The sequence below is a fragment of the Homo sapiens genome, chromosome 18 (genome assembly GCF_000001405.40).
Source record: "Homo sapiens chromosome 18, GRCh38.p14 Primary Assembly".
NCBI classification, from domain to species: Eukaryota; Metazoa; Chordata; class Mammalia; order Primates; family Hominidae; genus Homo; species Homo sapiens.
The window spans coordinates 14,868,863-14,890,934 of NC_000018.10; the positions used below are offsets into that span (position 1 = coordinate 14,868,863).

The window sequence follows — 22,072 nt, forward strand, 5'->3', positions numbered from 1 at the left end:
AGGAAGTGATGCTGGGACTCTCCTGTTGGTGTTCTGCTGCCTCCGTGTTGTCTCTGGCTTCTCACGGACTCTCAGATGTGTGAAGGCAAAAAGGTTTCCTGGCTAGTTTGCGTGGTGTGGTTGGGATCACTTTTGCTACATGCCTCTCAGGCACCCTAGTGGGGGAAAAGGGAATTTTAGATTTAAGGAGAATGTGTCTATGTTGGCTGCTTATTGTTAGCAAATTTCTGAACAATTCTATTCTAAATGGTCGCCTCTTGTTGAGTAGACTCCAGCTCCATTGGAGAAGAGATGAGCTTACCTGGGCTGTGTTTTCTTGCTAGCTTGAGGGTTGAAAACACTAGGATTTTGTCTCCTTTTCCAGTTGAGTTAGGGAAGTGACATGCATTGCCACAAAACAATTTCTTCAGTTCTGGAGTCCTTAGACGGTCATCTTACTAGCACCTTCCAGCATTCTCCTTTCAGTGAGATAATAAGGGAGGGTTCCTAATCTAAAAGGAAACATGGATGGTGTTCTTATGTTGTATGACAAGAAATATGAAATAATTCTGAAAAATTTAGTCATTCTTCTTTTAAATTTAGAAACCCGTTTTTTATATTTATAATATTTAAAGCCATTAAAAGTTAAGATGTCATAATTAAAATAATCTTTTAACATTAATTAGCATTTAGCAGATGACCATAATAAATTATTTTTAATTATGCTACATTAATTGCCAATACAAATTTATTTCTGGTTTTTACAAATCTGTTTGCAAAATTTTATTTTGTCATTTATTAAATTTTTGTATAATTAGCTGCTACATTGCAGGTATAGGAACTTCCAGTATTAAGCATGATTACAAATACTTCAGTTTTCATGTCTTACCTTTTATTAATAGTCTAAAAGTTATAAAATGCTTTGTGCATTAGTATTGGTAACATTCTTTAGTATGAACTATCATTTGAAAAATGTTAGGAACATAGCTTTCCCATCTTATTTATTTTCTAGAGGTGGGGTCTCACTCTGTCGCCCAGGCTGGAGTGCAGTGGCCTGACCTTGGCTCACCGCAACCTCTGCCTCCTGGGTTCAAGCTATTTCTCCTGCCTCAGCCTCCTGAGTAGCTGGTATTACAGGCACGGGCCACCACGACCTGCTAAGTTTTGTGTTTTTAGTAGAGATGAGGTTTCACCATATTGATCATGCCGGTCTCGAACTCCTCACCTCAGGTGATCCACCTGCCTCGGCCTCCCAAAGTGTTGGGATTACAGGAGTGAGCCACCACGCGAAGCCTATTTATTTTAGATACAGTGTCTTCCTCTGTTGACCAGGTTGAAGTGCAGGGGTGTAGTCATAGCTCACTGCAGGCTCAGACAATCCTTCTGCCATGGCCTCCCAAAGTGCTGAGATTACAGGCATGGGCCACTGCGCCTGGCCTAAATTGTAATAATTTTACAGTTTGCCTCAAATGGGTGGTGACGTCTGGGCAAGGTTTGCTGGGGGCCTCCCACATGCAGGCAGTCTCTCTGCTGTGCCCTCCACCAGCACTGAGGGTCACCTGCCCACAGGCACCCCTCTCCTTTCCCCTCTGGGGAAGGCCAGAAGTGACTTTTGAGGTTACCCACGGGACTTTGTCTGGAAAAGTGTGTGAAGCTGAAGCTGATGGCCTCAGTGTCCAAAGGGGAACACTTCCCACAGGCGTTTGGAAGCCACAGACCTGACAGTGGGGTCCTGGTCTTGGGGGTCTCAGTCACCTGGCCACCCATTCCTTCCTCACTTAGGCATCCACCTAGTGGGCTGCCTACACCCTCTTCTATCTGTCTGTGCTCAGCCAATCAGGCAAGCCAGGGTTACAGCCCTCCCTGTCCTGGGCCCTGGCTCCATGAAGCACCATGTGCCTTGAAAGACCTCCCTGATTGATCCCATCTCCCCAGTATCTTCTGCTAAGGCAGAGGTTTCCCTTGGCCCCTGCTCTGGTCCGCTTCCTTGGCACAGTTTGTAGCTGTGCCTGACACAGCCCACCTGCCTGGCTTCTGTCCCAAACCTGCAGCCAGGCCATGTGACAGCTGCTGCCCCCGCCCAAACATTCATCCAGCCCCACCCAGAAGAGCCAAACAGGCACTCACACCCTAACCCACACACTCTCACCCGCCCACCCCCACCCACACACCCCTACCCACACACCCTCACCCACACCCCCACCCACACACCCCCACCCACACACCCCCACCCACAGACCCCCACCCTCACCCGCACACCCTCACCCACACACTCTCACCCACACACCCTCACCCACACACCCCCACCCACACACCCCTACCCACACCGGCACACCCTCACCCGCACACCCTCACCTGCCTGGTCCTGCTGCACCCCCACCCCACCCTCCCTCTAAACCTACTGGGTGAGCAGCTTCCCCTACATTCGCTTGCTCCACCTCCTCCTAGAGCTGGGTCACATACCAATTCCCACGCTCTTGGCAGGTTGGTCATGGTCCCAGCAGATCTGAGGACAGGATGGGCACAGGACTGTGTGCAGCATAGAAAGGTCAAGGAGTGCAGCCTCGTACTCTGTGCCAGCTGCCAGCCCCTGGAGCTTACTAGGCTGATGGGGACAAAGAATGCACCAGAGGGGACAGTGACCATTGCCCCTGGGTTAGTCCACCACAGGACTGTTGGGAAGTCCATGGATGTACTGATTGCCCTGTTGCATTGGTCCTCAGGGGCAGATGCTGAGATGGGGTTAGGAGAACAAAGGGGAGGAAGGGAGCTTGGCATGGTGGCTCATGCCTGTAAATCCTAGCACCTGGGGAGGCCCAGGTGGGAGGATTTCTTGAGGCCAGGAGTTTGAGACCAGCCTGGGTAACATAGCAAGACCCTGTCCCTACAAAAAAAAATATTAAAAATTAGCCAGCCATGGTGGCTATATTCCCAGCTACTCGGGAAGCCGAGGTGGGAGGAACAGTGGAGCCTAGGAGTTGTCAATAGAAATCAAGTGTTGGGATATTGAGAATGGCATTACAATGAGGGTCCAGAGTATGTTGTTAATACTAATGGTATAATTTTGAGCTTCTGATATATACACAAACATGTATAGCTACACCAGAGATTGTGCTCAAGATTTGACTTACATTAGCTTGTTTAAGCCTCTCCCACACACTATTTGAGGCAGGTACTGTTGTTATTTTATGGATGACAAAACTGAGAAGCAGAAAATGTAGGAAACTTGCCCAAGATCACACAGCCACGAAGCAGACACCAGAACCAGAGCCCTAGGCTCACAAACTTCACTGCCTTCACTCCTAGGCTCTATGTTATTCTGACCATCTCTCAGCCAGGAAGTCACTTCCTTATGCAAATGACATTGTTGGTGCTGATGGTGAAATATTTCTATTCTCACAACATTGGAAAGAGAGAGCCTGATTTGTTAGCTAAGCCCCAAGGGTTTCTCCTACCATTTCTAAGAGATGGAAACTTTTCTTTGCCCCTAAACTGTGGCAAAGGAAACAGAGAGGAGGAAACAGCCATCAGAAGACTAAAAATCTCTCATCTTTGCAAATAAGAATTCACTCTGAGCTTTTTTGCATGCAGCACTGGGAAGAGACCTTGTTTTTTATTCTATCAACTTATCCATTTAACAATTTATTGAGAACCTGTTGTGTATCCAATGCACTGCTGCCATTGGTTATATAGAAATCAATGCAGCGTGGTCCTTTCCCCAAGCAACTCAGTCTCCTGCTTGGTTCTCTTTTCTGGATCATTTTAATTATGGTTCTCCTTTTAAGTAAAGGACAAACAGAGAAGTAGCACTGAGTCAGATTTTTGCCACTAGTCTTATACAGGTGACCTATTTTTCTTAATGCTCCCCACACATGGAATCTGAGCCAGCTGAGCCCTGAAACCTTCCAGGCTGAGAATGTAGTGTGGCACTTCACATGAGACTGTGCAGGAGTCGATACAACTGGCATGTTAGCCACAGAAACCCTGCCAAGCGTTCGGGAATAGAAGGGGTGGACAGGACCCCACCTACTTTTCCTAATCTCATGGATATCAGGCACCACGCAGCCTTGCCCCTAGAATGGAGACATCTCAGGTAGGAGTTGTCACTGTTCCAAGCTTCCTTTGATGCCGTTTTGATCCTGGATGTAGAGTTGCCACATGGAGAGTGAAACCACCAGAATATATAATTGAAAGAGGAATGGAAAGATGGACAGATACCTAAATAGATACATAAATACTTTGCAGAAGTCTGGGACAGTGGAACGTAGGAAGAGAGCCTCAGATAGAGAGAGAACAGTAGGTTGATTGTGGTAAAGGGAAGACTTCACTTTGTTATTCAGTATACTTATTTATTGAATTGTTTAAACAATATGTATATCTTTATAATTAAAAGATAATTTGGGGCCGGGCATGGTGGCTCACACCTGTAATCCCAGCACTTGGGGAGGCCGAGGTGGGTGGATCACGAGGTCAGAATTTTGAGACCAGCCTGGCCAACATGGTGAAACTCCATCTCTACTAAAAATACAAAAAATTAGCTGGGCCTGGTGGCAGGCACCTGTAATCCCAGCTACTCAGGAGGCTGAGGCAGGAGAATCACTTGAACCTGGGAGGCAGAGGTTGCAGTGAGCCGAGATGGTGCCATTGCACTCCAGCCTGGGTGACAGAGCAAGACTCCGTTTCAAAAAAAAAAAAAAAAAAAAAGAGAGAATTTGGGCTTTAGAATAAGATTGGAGTGTGAATCCTGGCTTCTGCTATTTCTGAGAGCTATGTGACTGTGGGCAAATTGTTTCAGTTCTCTAAACCCCCAATTCCCTTGTTTATGAAATGGAGGTCATGGGGATTGAATGAGATTAAGTCCTGTATAAAATGCTGATGGAGTTCTCAATAACATCAGCTCTTTATTATTAATAGCATTAGGCGAGGCTGAGAGTCAGCTACAGAGGAGACCTCTGTGGGCAGCAGAGAACCACAGAGGAGTTAGCAAGTAGCAGTAGAGCCGAGCGAGGAATGGGTTCCATTTAACTCGGTGTCAAGTGCACTCCTCATTAGGGAGATGTACCTCCCTCCCTTCTTAACCTGCCAGCACTTGTTTTCTCCTGGGGAAACACCCGGCATGGCAAGCTTTGTATGTGGTAAGGTGGCTGAGAACATGAGCCCTGGTGCCATTGATTTCCATTCTAGCTGTGCCACTTACTTGCTTAGTCAGTTTCCTCACCTGTAGAATGGGAATGGTGATTGTGTCTACCTCAAGAATTGTCTCACCAATTAAGTGAGTTAATGCATGGGAAGGGCTTCAGAAGAGCCTGGCACAGAGTAAGTGATTTATAAATATGAGTGCATATTCTATACTCTGGTTCTAGAGTAATCCTAAGACTTTCGAAGACCCTGAACGCTCTTCCTTTTGGAGATTTCAACCCACATTTTATCAAACATACTGAAAGTCACCCACATTTCACGTTAATTATTATTATTATTTGCTGTAGTATGTTTAAAAGAGGTTTTAATGATTTTGCTTGTGGTTGGCTGTGACTAACTCATGGCTATGAGGCCTTAGCAATCGCTGGACTTATTTGAAAACCCTTTCAAAGTGAGTAATTCTAAGGAACAAATTGTTTTTAAGTGTAATACAATTTGTATGAACATCAACCTTAACAATTAATGATGTTTTCATAACATTCCATTATGTAGATATTTAATTAAAGTTTTATCTATTTCGATTTTTCAGTTTTCTCTTTTTGTATTTTGAAGCCAAAAAAAAAAGTGTTTACAGACCTCAGGTTAAGGGAATAGATGAAAGTGGTTAGCAGGGACCAGAAAGACCTCTTGGCCACCCTCCCGAAGTTGTGGTTCAGCAGAATCAGGCAGAGCCTGGGTGTAGAAGGGACCTATAAGCTTATCTATCCCTGTTCTTCCCTTTTATGAATGGAATAACTCATGTACAAGGAGGGGAGTGACTTGCCCAGAAGATAGTATAGTTTGATTCTTCAAATGCAGAGTCCTGAGCCCTTTCAAACTTTTTGTTGTTTGTTTTACGCATTCCAAGATGATATTCAAGGAGTGGTTCTCAAAGCCTAGGGGAGTGACCTCATGAGAGGTCAAGGCCGCTGATGCTGGGAAGACTCATACAGGTCCACTCAGGCTGCACGTGTGTGTAACCCAATGACCAAATCAACAGTGACTTGAACCCGCAGCCAGGGGAGTGTGAGTGAAATATGAGCAGACGTTTTCACCAGCTGTTAAAACCTAGCAGGGGCATGAGGAATCAATCGCAGACTGTGCCTCAGCAAACCTCCATGAGGAAGGCTCAAGGGAGCAGAAGAGCAGTCACAGGTCTCCACTAGCCAAGAGCAAATCCAAGCAGAGCTAAGCGATTTTGTGTCCTCTGGAGCAAGGAAACCCCATAACCTTGCAGACTTTCGGGAATGATGGAAGCTGAGAAGCTACATGGCCATGTCAGGAGGATGATGAGGTTGCCAGGCAGCTGCCATCAAATTAGAGTTCAGAGCGGTCCTGGAAGAGGAGATGCCCCTGCCCAGGACCACACAGGACAGAAGGGCATCTGGACAGTGCCAGGCCATGTTCAGAAAGTGAAGGGGCTTTCCCATAGGAAGGTTATGGGCCCAAACACTTATTGAGCGCTTACTGTGTGGCTGGCATAGTCAATAAGTGTTAAAGGAAGGGAGAGAGAAACTGCGAGGGAAGAGAGGAGGAGGAGCCCCTGGACAGCAGGTGCTGTCACTCTGAGGCTCCTCCATGTCCACAGTTGGTGGCTTCTACCTTACATCTTTATACCTTTGAATTGAATGAAATGTATTTTCTCTTGGTCATTAGGGCACTGGTGCACAATTTCAGTATGACCTTGTTGGTTCGTTCCACCTGGTCATTAAGGTTCTGGGGACTGTTTATGAAGCAGTATCATACAGGAGAAGGAGGCAGGCAAACCTGGTTTTGAATTCCAGCCTAGCCACTATATAGCGGTGGTACCATAGAGACATTCTTTACCCTCTCTGAAAGTGCGTTTCTTCATCTGGGCAATGGGCGCTAAGAATTCTTGCTTCCCAGGGCTATAGCAATGTGCTAACACAATCCCTGCTACATCATAGTAGAGGCCCCATAGAGTGCCTTTTCATGTCCCATGGTCAAGGTGGTCTTGCCTGAAACTAAGACATAGCTCATTGTACTGCTCAAGTCAGAGCAAGCCAAGTGTGCTTTGGACAACTAATGTGCCTAAGCCTGGGTCGTGAGAATCCTAAAAAGGAACAGGGCATGGCTCTGGACCTCAGGGAAACAGAGTAAGATGTGGGGGAGACATAGATCTGGAAAAAAAAAAAGCACCGGGCTTGGGGTCTGGAGTTTGGGTCACCTTCCCAGCTTTGCCACAGATTTGATATGTGTCCTTGATTAAGTCACAGTTCTCTGAATCTCAGTTTCCTCTTCTCTCCTGCAAGGGCAAAACTTGATGGTCTCTAAGATTCATCCTTGTTGAGTAAGTAAGTGCTAAGCTGCATGGCACAAATTTCAGATGCTTCTTCAAGTGTGTCCAAGAAGAAAATTCTCAGAGTCAGTTGGAGTGCCTGGGAGTGGCTAGAAAAAATTAGGGAAATGATGCCAACATTTAGCCACAAGTGATACAACTAACTTAGGATTCTGCTCCTGATCTCATGGGGGTCTTAAATTCTTCCCTCCAGTCCTTCTCTCTTGGGTTGTATTAGAAAGATTACTGAGGTAACCTTAAGCACAGCAGGTTGGATTCAGGTTAGATTTAAGGAAGGACTTCCAAACAAATGCTTTTAAAGGCATGAGCTTGTAAGTGAACAGAGAGAAAGGCATCATCTACTTTTTAAAAGACTTAAGATGCTGGGCACAGGTATATTTTGCATTCCTGAAAACTGTGTGCTAAGAGAATACACTGAATCACTCCTGCTTAAAATGCACCAGAGTGTTCACTATTTAAAGGCATGGGGATACCCTTAAGTTCACCTGTTTATGAATACGAGCTTTGTTTAGCCAGGTTTTTAAGGTGAAGATTCTAGCTGGATCTCTGTCACGCAAAGTTCAAATGTAATCTTCCTCAGAGGCAGAGAAATAAATTCAGTGCATTCTATTCTCAAGGTTGCTTTCAGATCTATGGGTCCAGGAATGCATCAAATACAAGGATGTTTATGATGTTTCTGTATTGGCCAACATTCCTGGCTTCTGTCCCTGGAGGACCTGCAGAGCCAGCAGTCTCTTCTTTGAGTATGTCTCAATCGTGAGCACCAGGCAAAACCACAGGAGCAGTACCATTGTTCTGGAGAGTTTAGTCTGGGGCCTACTGGGAATTGAGTAGAAGTTGGAATCTGATTTGACTTCCACTTACTCTGCACCTTGTACTTTGCAGTAACAAGACTGTCAGTGCCATGGGGCAGGGAGTATTTGTGATTTGCTTCTCATTGCCTGGCATGGAACGGGTACTCAATAAATGATGAATGAATGAATGAATGAATGAATGAATGAATGAATGAATGAAAATGGACACATCAATTCTAGTTGACTTTCTGGCCTTTGGCCAGGTACTTAACTGCTCTGAGCCCCAGTTTCTGCATCCATAGCATGGGGGATAGTAAGAGTTCCTACTTCACAGGGTTGTCATCAGAATTCAATGAGACAAAATATGCAAAGTACTTAGCGCGTTGTGTAGAATGTAATAGGCACTCAACCAATGTTAGCTTAGTACTACTTTTTCTGTGTAAGATTATGTTGTCCTTTCCACAGCCCTGTAAGGAGAAATATACCATCCCCACTGAACAGATGAGAAAACTGAGGCTCAGAGGTGTCAGGTGACTGCCTGAGGTCACAGGTGGGACTGGGGCTCCTTGGTCTGTCCTCTTTCTACTGCGAAACAATCTGGTGAAGCCACAGAAGGACCCATTCCTGCTAATGAGGCACTAAAGGTAATGCACGAGGAACTCTCAGGAATATGTGGAAATTCTCCTGGGTTTTCCAGCTCCTGAGAGAGCCCTGGCTTTGTGGGGTGAAGTCCTTTGATTGCCTCAGGTTCCTGATCTGTTCGTGACCCTGTTAGCCCAAAAGCTGGCAGAGCTCCATGTAAGTGCTACTGTTCTTTTTGTCTCCCTGACTCTCCCCTGCTACCCACCTGCATCGCCTTAGGCATTTATTCTTTGCTTAAACATGCCTATTTGCAGAGACACACTGAGCTAAGCAGCAAAAGTGGAGGTTGCCAGTGAGAAGTCCACTGTGAGGGAATAGGGTGTCAGGAGAGGTCCTACCAGCTCATCTTGACCGAGATGCTCGTGTGCTGTGCTTTTGAAAACACAAGCAGTCAAAGAACATTTAAAATGCACTCAGTGGATACTCTCCCTTTGTGGAACCGAGCAGATAGTAGTGCAGTGTGAAACATGACGTCCATATGGAAATAGAAGGACAAAACGCGGTCTTTGTTAACTTGATTATCTACCCTGTGGTTAGAAATGAGGGCCTGGCTAAATGCAACACAGAGAATCTAGAAACTTTGTTTTGCAAAAAAAGGCACCTACCCCATTTACACTTTACTGCACTATTATTAATAAGGAGCTTATGAGTCTATTAGATACGGTCTTTGCCTTCTTTCTCGATTCTAAGGTTGGGTTTCTGGGGACAGTGAAAAGCCCCAAAGGTGGGAAAAGCAAGAGGAGGGCAAACAGAAAGTCTGCAAACTCCATCATCCGAATAACAGGGCTGATGCTTTAGAGTGTGCTGCTTGAAAATCTGGTGTGCATATTTAAATTATAGCTTTCCACACACAGAAAGGGCAGCCGTTCCCTTTATCCCAGCCCCCTTTCCCTCTTATTATTAAAATAGAGGACAAAAGGGGTGCTTCTTTTCCTGGGTTTCTATTTTGGTATGAGTTTACAAAATGTGGTTTAACTATTGATTTTATAGGAAGAATGTCACATTTTAAGATTCAGTGTTAGGCGTGGAGCTTTCTAAAAGATTGTTAAGTAAGTATTAAGGCCAGGAAAAAGGTGCTGTGCAGCAATGCCCAGCAATAGAGGGCATTCAGGCAGGAGGGGCTGCCATTCATCAGCTACCCAGTCACCCTCTTGCGAGGGCGGAGCTGAGTTCTCCTCTGCACAGACTTCGGAGATATAGCAAAGGCAGAGCAGTGTTCTCCTCAGCACAGACCTGGGCAGGCAGGCAGGCCGGGGGCACCGCGAGGGTGCAGCTGCGTTCTGCTCAGCACAGACCCGGGGGACACCGCGAAGGCAGAGCAGTGTTCTCCTCAGCACAGACCTTGCGGGCACTGCCTCGCTTTGGGACAACTCGGGGCCACATCGACAGTGAATAAAATCCTTCCAGTTTGCAGCCCTGAATAATCAGGGTCAGAGACCAGTTAGAAGGGTTCAGTGTGGAAAACGGGAAACCAAAAGCCCCTCTGAATCCTGCCCACCGAGGTTCTCCCCAGCCAAGGCGAGGCGGCCACAGTGCAAGATCCACACCACAGCCTCGGAAGACAAATGCAGCATTCCTAATGCAGACATGACACCCAAAATATGACACCCCCATCGCTCATATAACAAGCACCTGTAATGCTAATGCACTGCCTCAATACAAAAATATTAATATAAGATCCGCAATCCCCTCGCTGCCGTGCAGTCCTAAGACAGCGATCATAACAATCAACATTGACATAGTCAATACAAATGTAGTAACGAACCTAGGGTTAAGGTTGGTGTTAGGGTTAGGGGTTAGGGGTTAAATTTAGGGTTTAGGGGTTGGAGATAGGAGTTAGGGTCAGAGTTAAGGGTTAGGAGTCAACGTTTAGAGTTAGGGGTTAAGAGAGGTTAGTGGTTTGGGATTAGGGGTTAGGGTGAGGGTGAGGGTTGGGGTTAGGGGTTAGGGTTAAGGGTCCAGGGTTAGGGGTTAGGGGTTAGGGTCAGGGGATAGGGGTCAGGGTCAGGGGTTAAGGGTCAGGGTCAGGGGTCAGGGTCAGGGGTCCCACTTTGTGGGTTGTCTACTCTGCTGACTGTTTCCTTTGCAATGCAGAAGCTCTTTAGTTTAATTAAGTCCCAGCTATTTATCTTTGTTTTTATTGCATTTGCATTTGGGTTCTTGCTCATGAAATCCTTGCCTATACCAATGTCTAGAAGGGTTTATCCAGTGTTATCTTGTAGAATTTTTATGGTTCAGGAATTAGGTTTAAGTTCTTAATCCATCTTGAGTAGATTTTTGTATAAGGTGAGAGATGAGAATCCAGTTTTATTCCCCTACATGTGGCTCGCCAATTATCCCAACATCATGTGTTGAAAAGGGTGTCCTTTCCCCACTTTACGTTTTTGTTTACTTTGTCGAAGATCAGTTGGCTGTAAGTATTTGGGTTAATTTCTGGGTTCTCTCTTCTGTTCCATTGGTCTATGTGCCTATTTTTAAACCAGTACCATGCTGTTTTGCTAACTATGGCCTTATTGTACAGTTTGAAATCAAGTAATGTGATGCCTCCAGGTTTGTTCTTTTTGCTTAGCCTTGGTCTGGCTACATGGCTTTCTTTTGGTTCCATATTAATTTTAGAATTGTTTTTGTAATTCTGTGAAGAATGACGGTGGTATTCAGATGGGGATTGCATTGAATTTGTAGATTGCCTTTAACAGAATGGTAATTTTCACAATATTGGTTCTACCCATCCAAGAGCATGGGGATGCGTTTCCATTTGTTTGTGTCGTCTATGATTTCTTTTCTTTCTTGGTTTTTTTTTTTTTTTTCAGGGGGAGTTTCGCTCTTGTCGCTGAGGTGGGAGTGCAATGGTGTGATCTTGGCTCACTACAACTTCTGCCTACTGGGTTCAAGTGATTCTCCTGCCTCAGCTTCCCGAGTAGCTGGGATTATAGGCATGCACCACCGTGCTTGGCTCCCTCTATGATTTCTTTCAGCATTGTTTTGTAATTTTCACTGTAGAGGTCTTTTGATTCCTTTGCTAGGTATATTCCTCAGTTTTGTTGTTTTATTTTTGTTTGTTTTTTGCAGCTATTGTAAAAGGGATTGAGTTCTTGATGTGATTCTCTGCTTGGTAGCTGTTGATGTATAGAAGAGCTACTGATTTGTGTCCATTAATCTTGTATCTGGAAACTTTGCTGAATTCTTTTATCAGTTCTAGGAGCTTTCTAGAGGAGTCCGTAGGGTTCTCAAGGAGAAAGGTCATATCGTCAGCAACCAGTGACAGTTTGACTTCCTCTTTACCGATTTGGATTTCCTCTATTTCCTTCTTTTGTCTGATTGCTCTGGCTAGGACTTCCAGTACTATGTTGAAGAGGAGTGGTGAGAGTAGGTTCCTCATCTTGCTCCAGTTCTCAAAGGGAATGCTTTCACCTTTTCCCCATTCAGTATTATGTTGGCTGTGGGTTTGTCCTAGATGGCTTTTATTACATTAAGGTATGTCCCTTGTATGCCTATTTTGCTGAGAGCTTTAATCATAAAGCAATGCTAGATTTTGTCAAATGCTTTTTCTGCATCTGTTGATATAATCGTGTGAGTTTTTTTAATTCTGTTTATTTGGTGTATCACATTTATTGACTTGCATATGTTAAACCATTCCTGTATCATTGGTATGAAACACACTTGATCATGGTGGATTATCTTTTTGATATGTTGTTGGATTCAGTTAGATAGTATTTTGTTAGGGATTTTGGCTTCTGTGTTCATCAAGGATATTGGTCTGTAGTTTTCTTTTTTGGTTATGTTCTTTCATGGTTTTGGTACTAGGGTGACGCTGGCTTCATAGAATGAATCGGGGAGGGTTTCTTCTTTCTCTGTCTTGTGGAATAGTGTGAAAGGATTGGTATCATTTCTTCTTTGAATGAAAGAAGACATTCTTTGAATGTCTGGTAGAATTCTGCTGTGAATCTGTCTGGTCCTCGGCTTTTTTTTTTGGAAATTTTAAAATTACCATTTCAATCTTGCTGCTTGATTTATTGGTCTGCTTGGGGTATCTAATTCTTCCTGATTTAAGTTAGGAGGGTTGTATTTTTCCAGCAGTTTATCCAACTCTTCTAGGTTTTCTAGTTTATGTGCCAAAAGGTGTTCATAGTACCCTTGAATAACCTTTAATATTTCAGTGGTGTCAGTTGTAATATCCCCTGTTTCATTTCTTAGTGAGGTTATTTGGATTTTCTCTCTTCTTTTCTTGGTTAATCTTGCTAATGGTCTATCGATTTTATTTATCTTTTCAAATAACCAACTTTTTGCTTTATTTATGTTTTGTATTTGTTGTTGTTGTTCTTGTGTCAATTTCATTTAGTTCTGCTCTGATCTTGGTTATTTCCTTTGTTTGCTGGGATTGGGTTTGGCTTGTTCCTGCTTCTCTGGTTCCCTGAGATGTGAACTTAGATTGTCTGTTTGTGCTCTTTCAGACTTTTTGACATCAGTGTTTAGGGCTACAAACTTTCCTCTTAGCACTGCCTTTGCTGTATCCCAGAGGTCTTGATAGGTTGTGTCATCCAGTTCGAAGAAATTTTTTACATTTCCATCGTGATTTCGTTTTTCACCCAATGCTCATTCAGGAGCAGGTTATTTAAATTCCATGTATTTGCATGGTTTTGAAGATTCCTTTTGGAGTTGATTTTCAGTTTTGTTCCACTGTGATCTGAGAGAGTGCGTGATACAATTTCAATTTTCTTCAATTTACTGAGACTTGTTTTATGGCCTATCATATGGTCTATCTTAGAGAAAATTCCATGTGCTGTTGAATAGAATGTGTATTCTGTGGTTGTTGGATGAAATGTTCTGTATATATCTGTTAAGTCCATTTGTTCCAAAGTATAGTTTAAATCCAGTGTTTCTTTGTTGACTTTCTGTCTTGATGATCTGTCTAGTGCTGTCAGTGGAGTATTGAAGTCCCCCACTATCATTGTGTTTCTGTCTATCTCATTTCTTATGTCTACTAGTAATTGTTTTATAAATTTGGGAGCTCCAGTGTTAGGTCCATGTATGTTTAGGATTGTCATATTTTTCTGTTGGATGAGACCTTTACCATTATATACTGCCTGTCTTTGTCTCTTTTAGCTACTGTTGCTTTAAAGTTTGTTTTGTCTCATATGAGAATAGCTACTGCTGCTCGCTTTTGGTGTCCATTTGCATGAAATGCTTTTTTCTATTCCATAATCATTCTGATGCAAAAACAATTGTAACTCTCTTTCTAGTGCCTACATTTCCTGTGAGCCCCAGTTGTGCATAGCAGAAAATACGGAGGCATCTAGGAAAACCTAGGGGCAGGAAGGGCTGGGAGGGAATAAGCCCTTTCAAGGTGTTTAAAGAAGAGACAAAGATGAAGAAGCAGGCATAGTTTCTGAAGAGGTTTTTTGGTTTTTGTTGTTGTTTGCATTTACCTAATTAGTTCTCAACTACAGAGGCACATTAGAATCTTCTGGGGAATTTTTAAAATACCACTGCATGGGCCACCTGTCATATACACTGATGTAATTGGCCTGATTTGGGGCCTAGGTGTCTCTCTCTCTCTCTGTCTCTCTCTCTCTTTCTCTCTCTCTGTCTGTCTGTCTCTCTCTCTCTCTCTCTCTCTCTCTCTCTATATATATATATATATATATATATATCTATATATATCTCCTGTTCTGTATATATCTATATATCTATAGATATATACGGAACAGGGGATACCAGTGTGTACCTACCATTGAAATCAATTGTTTTCAAGTCTTTTTAGGTCTTATTCTCAGACGGTCTTGGGTAAATGGTGGCTGATTGCCTTCAGCATCTAGAACAAAACACTCTATGGCCCAGAGGAATTCCAGCTGGAATCTATGATCTTATTCTCTTGAGGTAGGGCAGCCAAAGGGAGGATTATCTTCATGTTGAGTCTGATGGCAGGGTAATTTGCTTCATGTGGAGGCAAAGGCATATTGTTAGTTTTCCAGGTACATTGGGAGTTCTAAGTAGCCACATCTCAGGCTAATAGGAAGTCCAGATTGGTTCAAACCTTTTCTTAATTATCCTGTGTAGGAATGGACCATGCAGTATCCTTCAAGGAAGAATCAAGAATGTTTCCACAGAGAATATACATATTTCATCTCTTTCTCTGCTGAATGGATCCCCACTGAAAGCCATGAATTTCTCTTATTAGACCCTGTAGAATCCCAGTTTATGGCAGTGACATTAAAAACATCTAGTTTATGACTTGGATTAGGCAGCCTGTAAAATGGCTTCCAGTGATCCCTGCTCTCTGGTATGTATGCCTTTGTATAATACCCTCCTCATGAGTGTAGGCAGAGGTAACATCACTTTTGAAACTAGGTTATATATATTCAAACAAACAAACAAACCTGTGGCTTCCATTTTGGGTACTTTATCTCACACTCTGATTTCTTGCTTCGTGGGAAACAGACTGTAATATTGTAAGCAGTGCTATGGAGAGGTCCATGTGGTAAGGAAGTGATAGGTCCTGATAACAGCCAGTGAGGATCTAAGGTGGATCCCTTTCTGAGTTGAATATTGAGATAGATGACTACAGCCCTGGCTACACCTTGATTGCACCTCATGAGGAATTCTGAACAAAAACACTGTGCTGAACTGTGTCCAGGCTCATGAGCCACATAAACTATGAGAAAACAAATATTTGTTTCAAGCCATTAAGTTTTAATTTGTTACACAGCAATAGATAACTACCACATGGAAGGATTCAATAAGAGAAGGGTTTTTCATAAGTGAAATGTTATTTTCATCTCACATTTCAATTATTAGAATATAAATGAAAGAAAATAAATTTGGATAGGCTCTCATAAATTCAATGATAAGAATTTGGAAAATGCAACCACATGAAAACCAGGAAGTAAAAGGAAAACATAAGAGACATCTTCCCAGATGAGAGTAAATATCTGGTTCCCTGAGAAGTGTAGTTTGAGAATGGAGAAATCAGATGTTACTGGAAAGAGGCTAGGACTATATTATTTCTTGCTTCCTGTCAAGTCTTTTCAACTCAAGAGAAAGTAAATTTTCTTGACAAACCATTCAAAATTAAAGGATAGGTGGGAGTATATGTGTCCCTGAAGGAACAAGTGACCTTCATTGAAAGCAGCAGCTTGGTTGAATAAATACTGTACAGAAGTGGAATAAAGAGTAGCTGACAACAATGCTCAAATAGTTACACATGAAGTTTTAATGAGCTATTTCATATTAAGATACATATTGAGAATTCAAACCAGAGAGACCAGTTAATAGATATTTTCCCAACTCTGTTTTAAGGTGATCATAGAAATGATACCCACAAGTTAGTCACAGTGGCCTGCATCCATTTCGATATATCAGTGATGTATTCTGATTGGCCAGTAATCACCTATACTGACTGTTAAATATTTTAGTTATCACTCCTATGCATGGTGAATTTGAGTTCTGGTTTTCTTTAGCCTTGTGTTATTTATGTGTAAAGTTGGATTATGGGAGGCAAAGACTTTCTCATGTATCATTCATGCTCAAGTAAATGGCAGTGGGGTAGGGATGTAAATGAAACTGCATGATAAGCCCTGCAAGTCATTCTGAGGTATCAATTTTGCTTACTGGTGTTTAATTGCAGTCATTGTCATATTAATGCAACCACTAATACATTATGGAGTAAGATGCAAAAATCACATGAGTCTTAAGAGAAAAGAAATGTGCTGTCTGTGGTGGGCCCCCTTTGCATTATTCTCTAACTTCATATTTTATACCTCTACTATTAGAGAAATTTCAGTAGAAAATAGTGAGGGGCACCGTTTTAGAGTTTTTGTTGTTATAGGAATGCTTTTACTACAGCTAGGTCCCCTCGTACATCTTTATGTTCTTTGGCAGTCTAGAGAACCAGAAGAGCAAACTCTATGAGATAGAAACCCTAAGAATTTACCTCCAGCATCCCTTCTCTTCTGTCATTAAATTGAATTTGTAGCCAACTCAAAGGCTGACAACTTATACTATGGTTTTTATATTTTTATATTATAATTTATATTATGGCTTATGTCAAAATGTTTTGTTCACTGCTTTGAAAGTATCTTCTGTTTACTTTTGTTATCATTTCATATTTTAATTTTTTCCTTTCTAATTGTTAGAAACTCATGTATTTAATTTTATCTTTCAAAGAACATTTTTAAAAGGCTTACTCTGTTTATATGTATATTTTGCACAAAGCTTTCCATTCATAAACAAAAGGTGAATAGGAATCTGAATTGAAAACTACGTAATTTCTTTTCTCCTTTTTGTCAAATCATCACAGTATAGATTAGTCATTCTGTATGAAGTGCATTGCCAAGACATAGTCACATTTGTGTACAAATGTGAAGGCTATATCTCAATAGAAATCAAAAACAAAAAAATACAGAAGACCATTAGCTAATAATACTAATGATCTAGTGTAGAAAGCATGTGCCAACTGATCTAGACTCTTGTGACAGTTGTATATCTACCCAGCTGCATGACCTTAGGTTTATCAAAATCTTGATCTCCCAGACTACAAATGATTAAGAGGGATGGAGGCCCCTTACAGTTTTAAGATTCTAGAATTCTAAGTGTGTGTAACTGGAGCAAATTTTATTTTCTAAAATTTGCATAATAAATTTAAAAATAGGAGAAAAACAAATAATTAAGGTACATATTTCTAGAAGTCTTTTTTAGGTGATTTATACTACCAGGAATGGATTTACTACTAAATATTGGTTTTGCCTAATTCAGCATTGCTATGTAATTGGTATAACTCCATAGACAAAGAGCATTTGGTCCTAACATAGCTTGTATTTTATATGTATATACACTATTTCTATTTAAGTTTCTGTGTAGTCATGTTTTATCCTTTCAAAATGAAGATTAGTTTTATTATGTATTTTCTTTTGTCTATAAACATTCAATGAATTCACACTGAAAACTGATTATGAACAGATAGTCTGGTAGGCACTTAAGGAAACACATATGAAAGACTAAGTCCCCCTCTGCCCTCAATATGCTCACAAGACTACAGTTACTGAATCCTGATCTCAAAACCTAGCTAGCAAAGTCCTTGAATCAGGTGATAGTTCAGAATACCATTCATGCTCTCTCCCAGGAGTATATCTGAGGAAGGACAGTTCTTTCTAGTTTTCTACATCCTGGTCGTATAGGTCAACCACAGGAAAATTAAATGAATCTATTGTTTTGTTGACCTAGCCTTTTCATATAACTCTCATCTATAAATGTATTACCAAATACTATTTATGTAAAGGGACTTGAATGACAAATATTTTGAAATTAAAACCACAATGGTTAGCAAACCTTTTAAATTAGATAAATGTTGACCTCCCATTGGTGAACATATAAAGTGCTACCAAGATCTGCCTATGAAAGACTTTGGAAGTGGAAATTCATCTTTGTAATAATCCTGTTATCTGTAGGCTGACCTCAAGCCTTCATGACATTCAGGGCCCCTTATTCCTAACTGTATCTTCTATGTTGGGCATTGTGCTCTTGCATCTAACAGGAAAACAACTTTCAGTGTTGCCACCTTTTGAACAGGAGAGATTTCTAAAGATTAGAAAATTACTAAATTTAAATATACATAGTTCTAAAATATGATACTTTTCTACCCATGCATTCAAATATATTCTAACTTTAAAATCCTGTAAATATTTATATTTGTAATGATTTTATTTATCTGATCCAATTAATTGGCAAGAATATGTGGTGAAAGATTTTTTACATATTTGTATTGTTCTGTGTGAGACATCTATTGTAAGCATTGCTTCAGGCTCTCATTTTTGTCTGCCTTCCAGGATTTGCTGGCCCAAGTGCTGTGTGCTAGACTTAGTGTCAGTCACAAAGGGGAAGGAAACTTGCAGTTGAGCCAGACAGTTTTGTTATTCCTTTAAAATTAAAAGCATATGAAACAGATACAGCTTATTAAAGTTTTTTAATAAATAAAATAAACTTAAATAACAAAACAATAAAATTCAAAAACAACTTAAAATAGAGTTTAATGCTGTAACCGTAGGAAAAAAGCATGATTATTTGTGGGAAGAACATTATTAAAGGCCATATTCCCAAATATGAATTATACAAAGATAGATTATGTTACTTGAAAAAAACTTAAAGATTTCTCAATTTTACTTTGAGGAATTATAAAATGTTATTTTGTGGCAAGTAAGATGAAGTACAGTATTATCATCAATCACTGTTGCTATCTTATATACAAGATTTTTGGAAACATCCTTTTAGCAATACCTTTTCCACTTGAGCAGCATTAGAAATTTTGTTCTTGTTAATAGGTATAAGCATGTTCTAATCCTGTACTTTTGTTAAATTATCTATTTTATTGACTTTCATAATAGATTTTTTTGAGAATATTCTTTTTTTCTGATTAGAGTTTAAGTAGATTATAATTTTTCACTAGAAAGCATTTAAAATGCTGCTCATTTTCCAAAGTTAGTGTGGCTTGATTATCTGACAAATCCTGCCAGCAGCCTGTAGGTCTGATATACCTTATGTAACATCATCTGCATTATTATTATTATAGCAGCCATTTTATAAGCAGATAGGAATGTTTAAATAATCATTATCAGGTAATCAAATGTAACATACTCTTAAGGGTAAATTAATTTAAAAAAATCACTATTACTAACATCATGATTGTACAACCAGTTTTACAATTTTGTACAACCTTTAGTTACTAAATCTGATTTTTGTGTATACTTTTCAAATCTTTCTTTAATGCAGTGTCTTAAAACAAACATAAATGCACAAGTCCAGCTTGATCAGTTTTTCAGTAGTTTTCCAGCCTTTCTTGATTACTAAAAAATAAAAGGAAAGAAAATTTTGAGAAGAAAACAGTCCACTTAAAGAAATCTCCCTGCTGGAACTGGTTCTTTATATACCATATACAATTAAGTTATTGCCATAGGAAGAACGTGGGCTGTTTTTGTTCTTTCTTCATTTTTTTTCCTCTTAGAGGAATCCCCTTTTGATTTAAGGCAACAAACATTTCCCCTCCATTGTGTGTCCATTTAGCTGAGGCATATGTGTTGTAATGGTTTTCCAGAATTAGTCCTTTGAAGTTACAATCTTCATTGCATTCTTTCTGTTAAAACAAACAAACAAACAAACAAACATGTTCCAAATGATTTTTAGAGAGGCTCAATTAAACGAAGAGTAAGCAGGTAATATTTGTTAGAATTGAAACATACACAACTTTTTTTAACCCTCAGATTGAGCAGGCCTAATGTGGATTGTTAGCTATACTTATGTAGTATATTTGCATAAAAAGGTATCTTAAATTTGAAATAAAAACACCACATAATACACAGCTAGTTATGAAATATGTGTAGCTTTTTGGAAGTTCATGTCAACTATTCTTTAAAATTAGGACCTATTTCCCCCTAAGTAACAGGCCTCATATTACTATTCCCATATCACTCATTCTTTAACCACTGGAAATTTGGTATAACTAGCAGAACATCTGCCTCCCTCAGGTGAGAGACTTGTTTCATAACTTTTCTTTATTTACTTCTACATTGTCTTCAATGGTAATGGAAGATACAAGGTTAATTTGTTTGTTCATCCATGCAACCATTTGTTCATTCAATTAAACCTGTATCATTATATAATTAGCCTGTTCCAGGCATTATACTGAGCTCTGGGAATACAAAGGGAAAGCCAATTATATTTTATTACAGTGGGATGAACTGTTACATATTTTGCATTGTAGTGAAGTGGGAACAATGTGAATAATTACAGTTCAAAGCCCATGATTGTGAGATTGATGTTGATGAATGAACTAAACATTTCAAGATTTTTTCCCAAGAATTTTCATGTCAGCAATGTGCAAATTGGGTGAACTTTAACAAAAAGAGCTTTAATACTGGCAAATGGAAATTTTGGATTTTAAATATCTAAAATGCACATGGAATTTTAGAGCTGGAAGGATCCTTAGAGGTCAGCTGATTCAACTCATTTTACAGATGAAGAAACCAAAATCCAAAGAACAAGCCATTTGTCCAAAGTCACACAGAAAACATTTTTTCTTAACGTTTGAGTATAAAGTGTTTTAATAAAATCATTATATTACACAGTTGGAGATAAATTAAGTCCATTTTTCCTTTTCAGAATGGTGAGATATTTCGACAAAAATGAGTTTTAAAAATTAAGCCTAAGCGATCAATTATCAATACCTTTGCGTAGAGTTTTCCTTCCTCATTCATTGCAAGATAGAATTCACTTTCCACCCCTTTGATTGCCACAATCCCAACTGCCACTGTCCTGATTTCCATGATATATTCAAGGAATCACAGAAAGACATGTCAGGTATTCGTTCAGCTTTGCCAATGATCCATGAATGGCCATTTGTTCTTATTTCTGTTTTAATCGGAAGTTTTTAAAATTTTTAATGTGATTATTTACACAGCCCAAGACTCCGACCCACAACACATACACACAAACACCAGAATAGTCATTATATAAGGGAAGTGCAAACTGACGGTTTTTTATTTTGTAGAAAATATGTCTGTATCAAATAAATAGTTACATATTTGAGTTCAGCTTTTTATTCTCTAGAATTAAATTTCTAATTTACTATAATAATAATAGCTAATGTTTATTGAACTCATACCACATGCCAAGGATTATTGCATTGCTCTTATGTATTAACTCATTTACTCATAACCACAGATTGAGGCAGGTAGTCTTGTTATCCCAGTTTTACAGATCAGGAAACTGAAGCACAGAGAAACTAAGAAATTTGCCCAAATTCTTATACCTGAGAAGTAGCAGAACTGGAATTTGAACCCAGACATTCTGGCTCTTAATCATTATATAATTACTTTTCTATTTGGATAAACTTTATCTTAAAAATTATGGCTAACAGAATAGCTCTTGAATGTACTGAAAGTGAAGAAAATTCTAATTAAAGCAATTGTAAATGATGGTAAACAGAGCCTACTACCTTAAAAAAAGAGATTGTTTTAAACTGATAGTATTTTGATACATGAAAAGACCATTTAAAACAAAATTATGAATCCGGTTTATATAATACTTCATAACTTTATACCTTTGTAATTAACTTTTAAATCTTTGTTGAAATAGTATTTACAAAACATGTTTGCATAAGAATGGTAACTTA

The 22,072-nt window shown here is 40.3% G+C and overlaps 1 protein-coding gene, 1 long non-coding RNA gene and 1 pseudogene across 4 annotated transcripts in view; 2 read left to right on the forward strand and 1 right to left on the reverse strand.

The window, feature by feature from the left end:
- Nucleotides 1–22,072, forward strand: part of ANKRD30B (ankyrin repeat domain 30B) — a 192,964-nt gene that overhangs the window by 120,691 nt on the left and 50,201 nt on the right. Inside the window, exon 47 of one of the 3 annotated variants that reach the window (XR_007066152.1) lies at nt 8,737–8,915. The exons of the other annotated variants lie outside the window; for them this stretch is intronic. The gene's annotated coding sequence lies outside the window, so the exon portion shown is untranslated. The remainder of the gene's footprint in view (nt 1–8,736; nt 8,916–22,072) is intronic. 3 annotated transcript variants of the gene reach the window in all.
- LINC01906 (long intergenic non-protein coding RNA 1906) lies at nt 8,936–15,188 on the forward strand. Its single transcript, NR_170236.1, has 3 exons — nt 8,936–9,069; nt 14,666–14,790; nt 14,971–15,188. It is a non-coding gene; the product is annotated as a long intergenic non-protein coding RNA 1906 (long non-coding RNA).
- FGF7P1 (fibroblast growth factor 7 pseudogene 1) lies at nt 16,834–21,229 on the reverse strand (annotated as a pseudogene).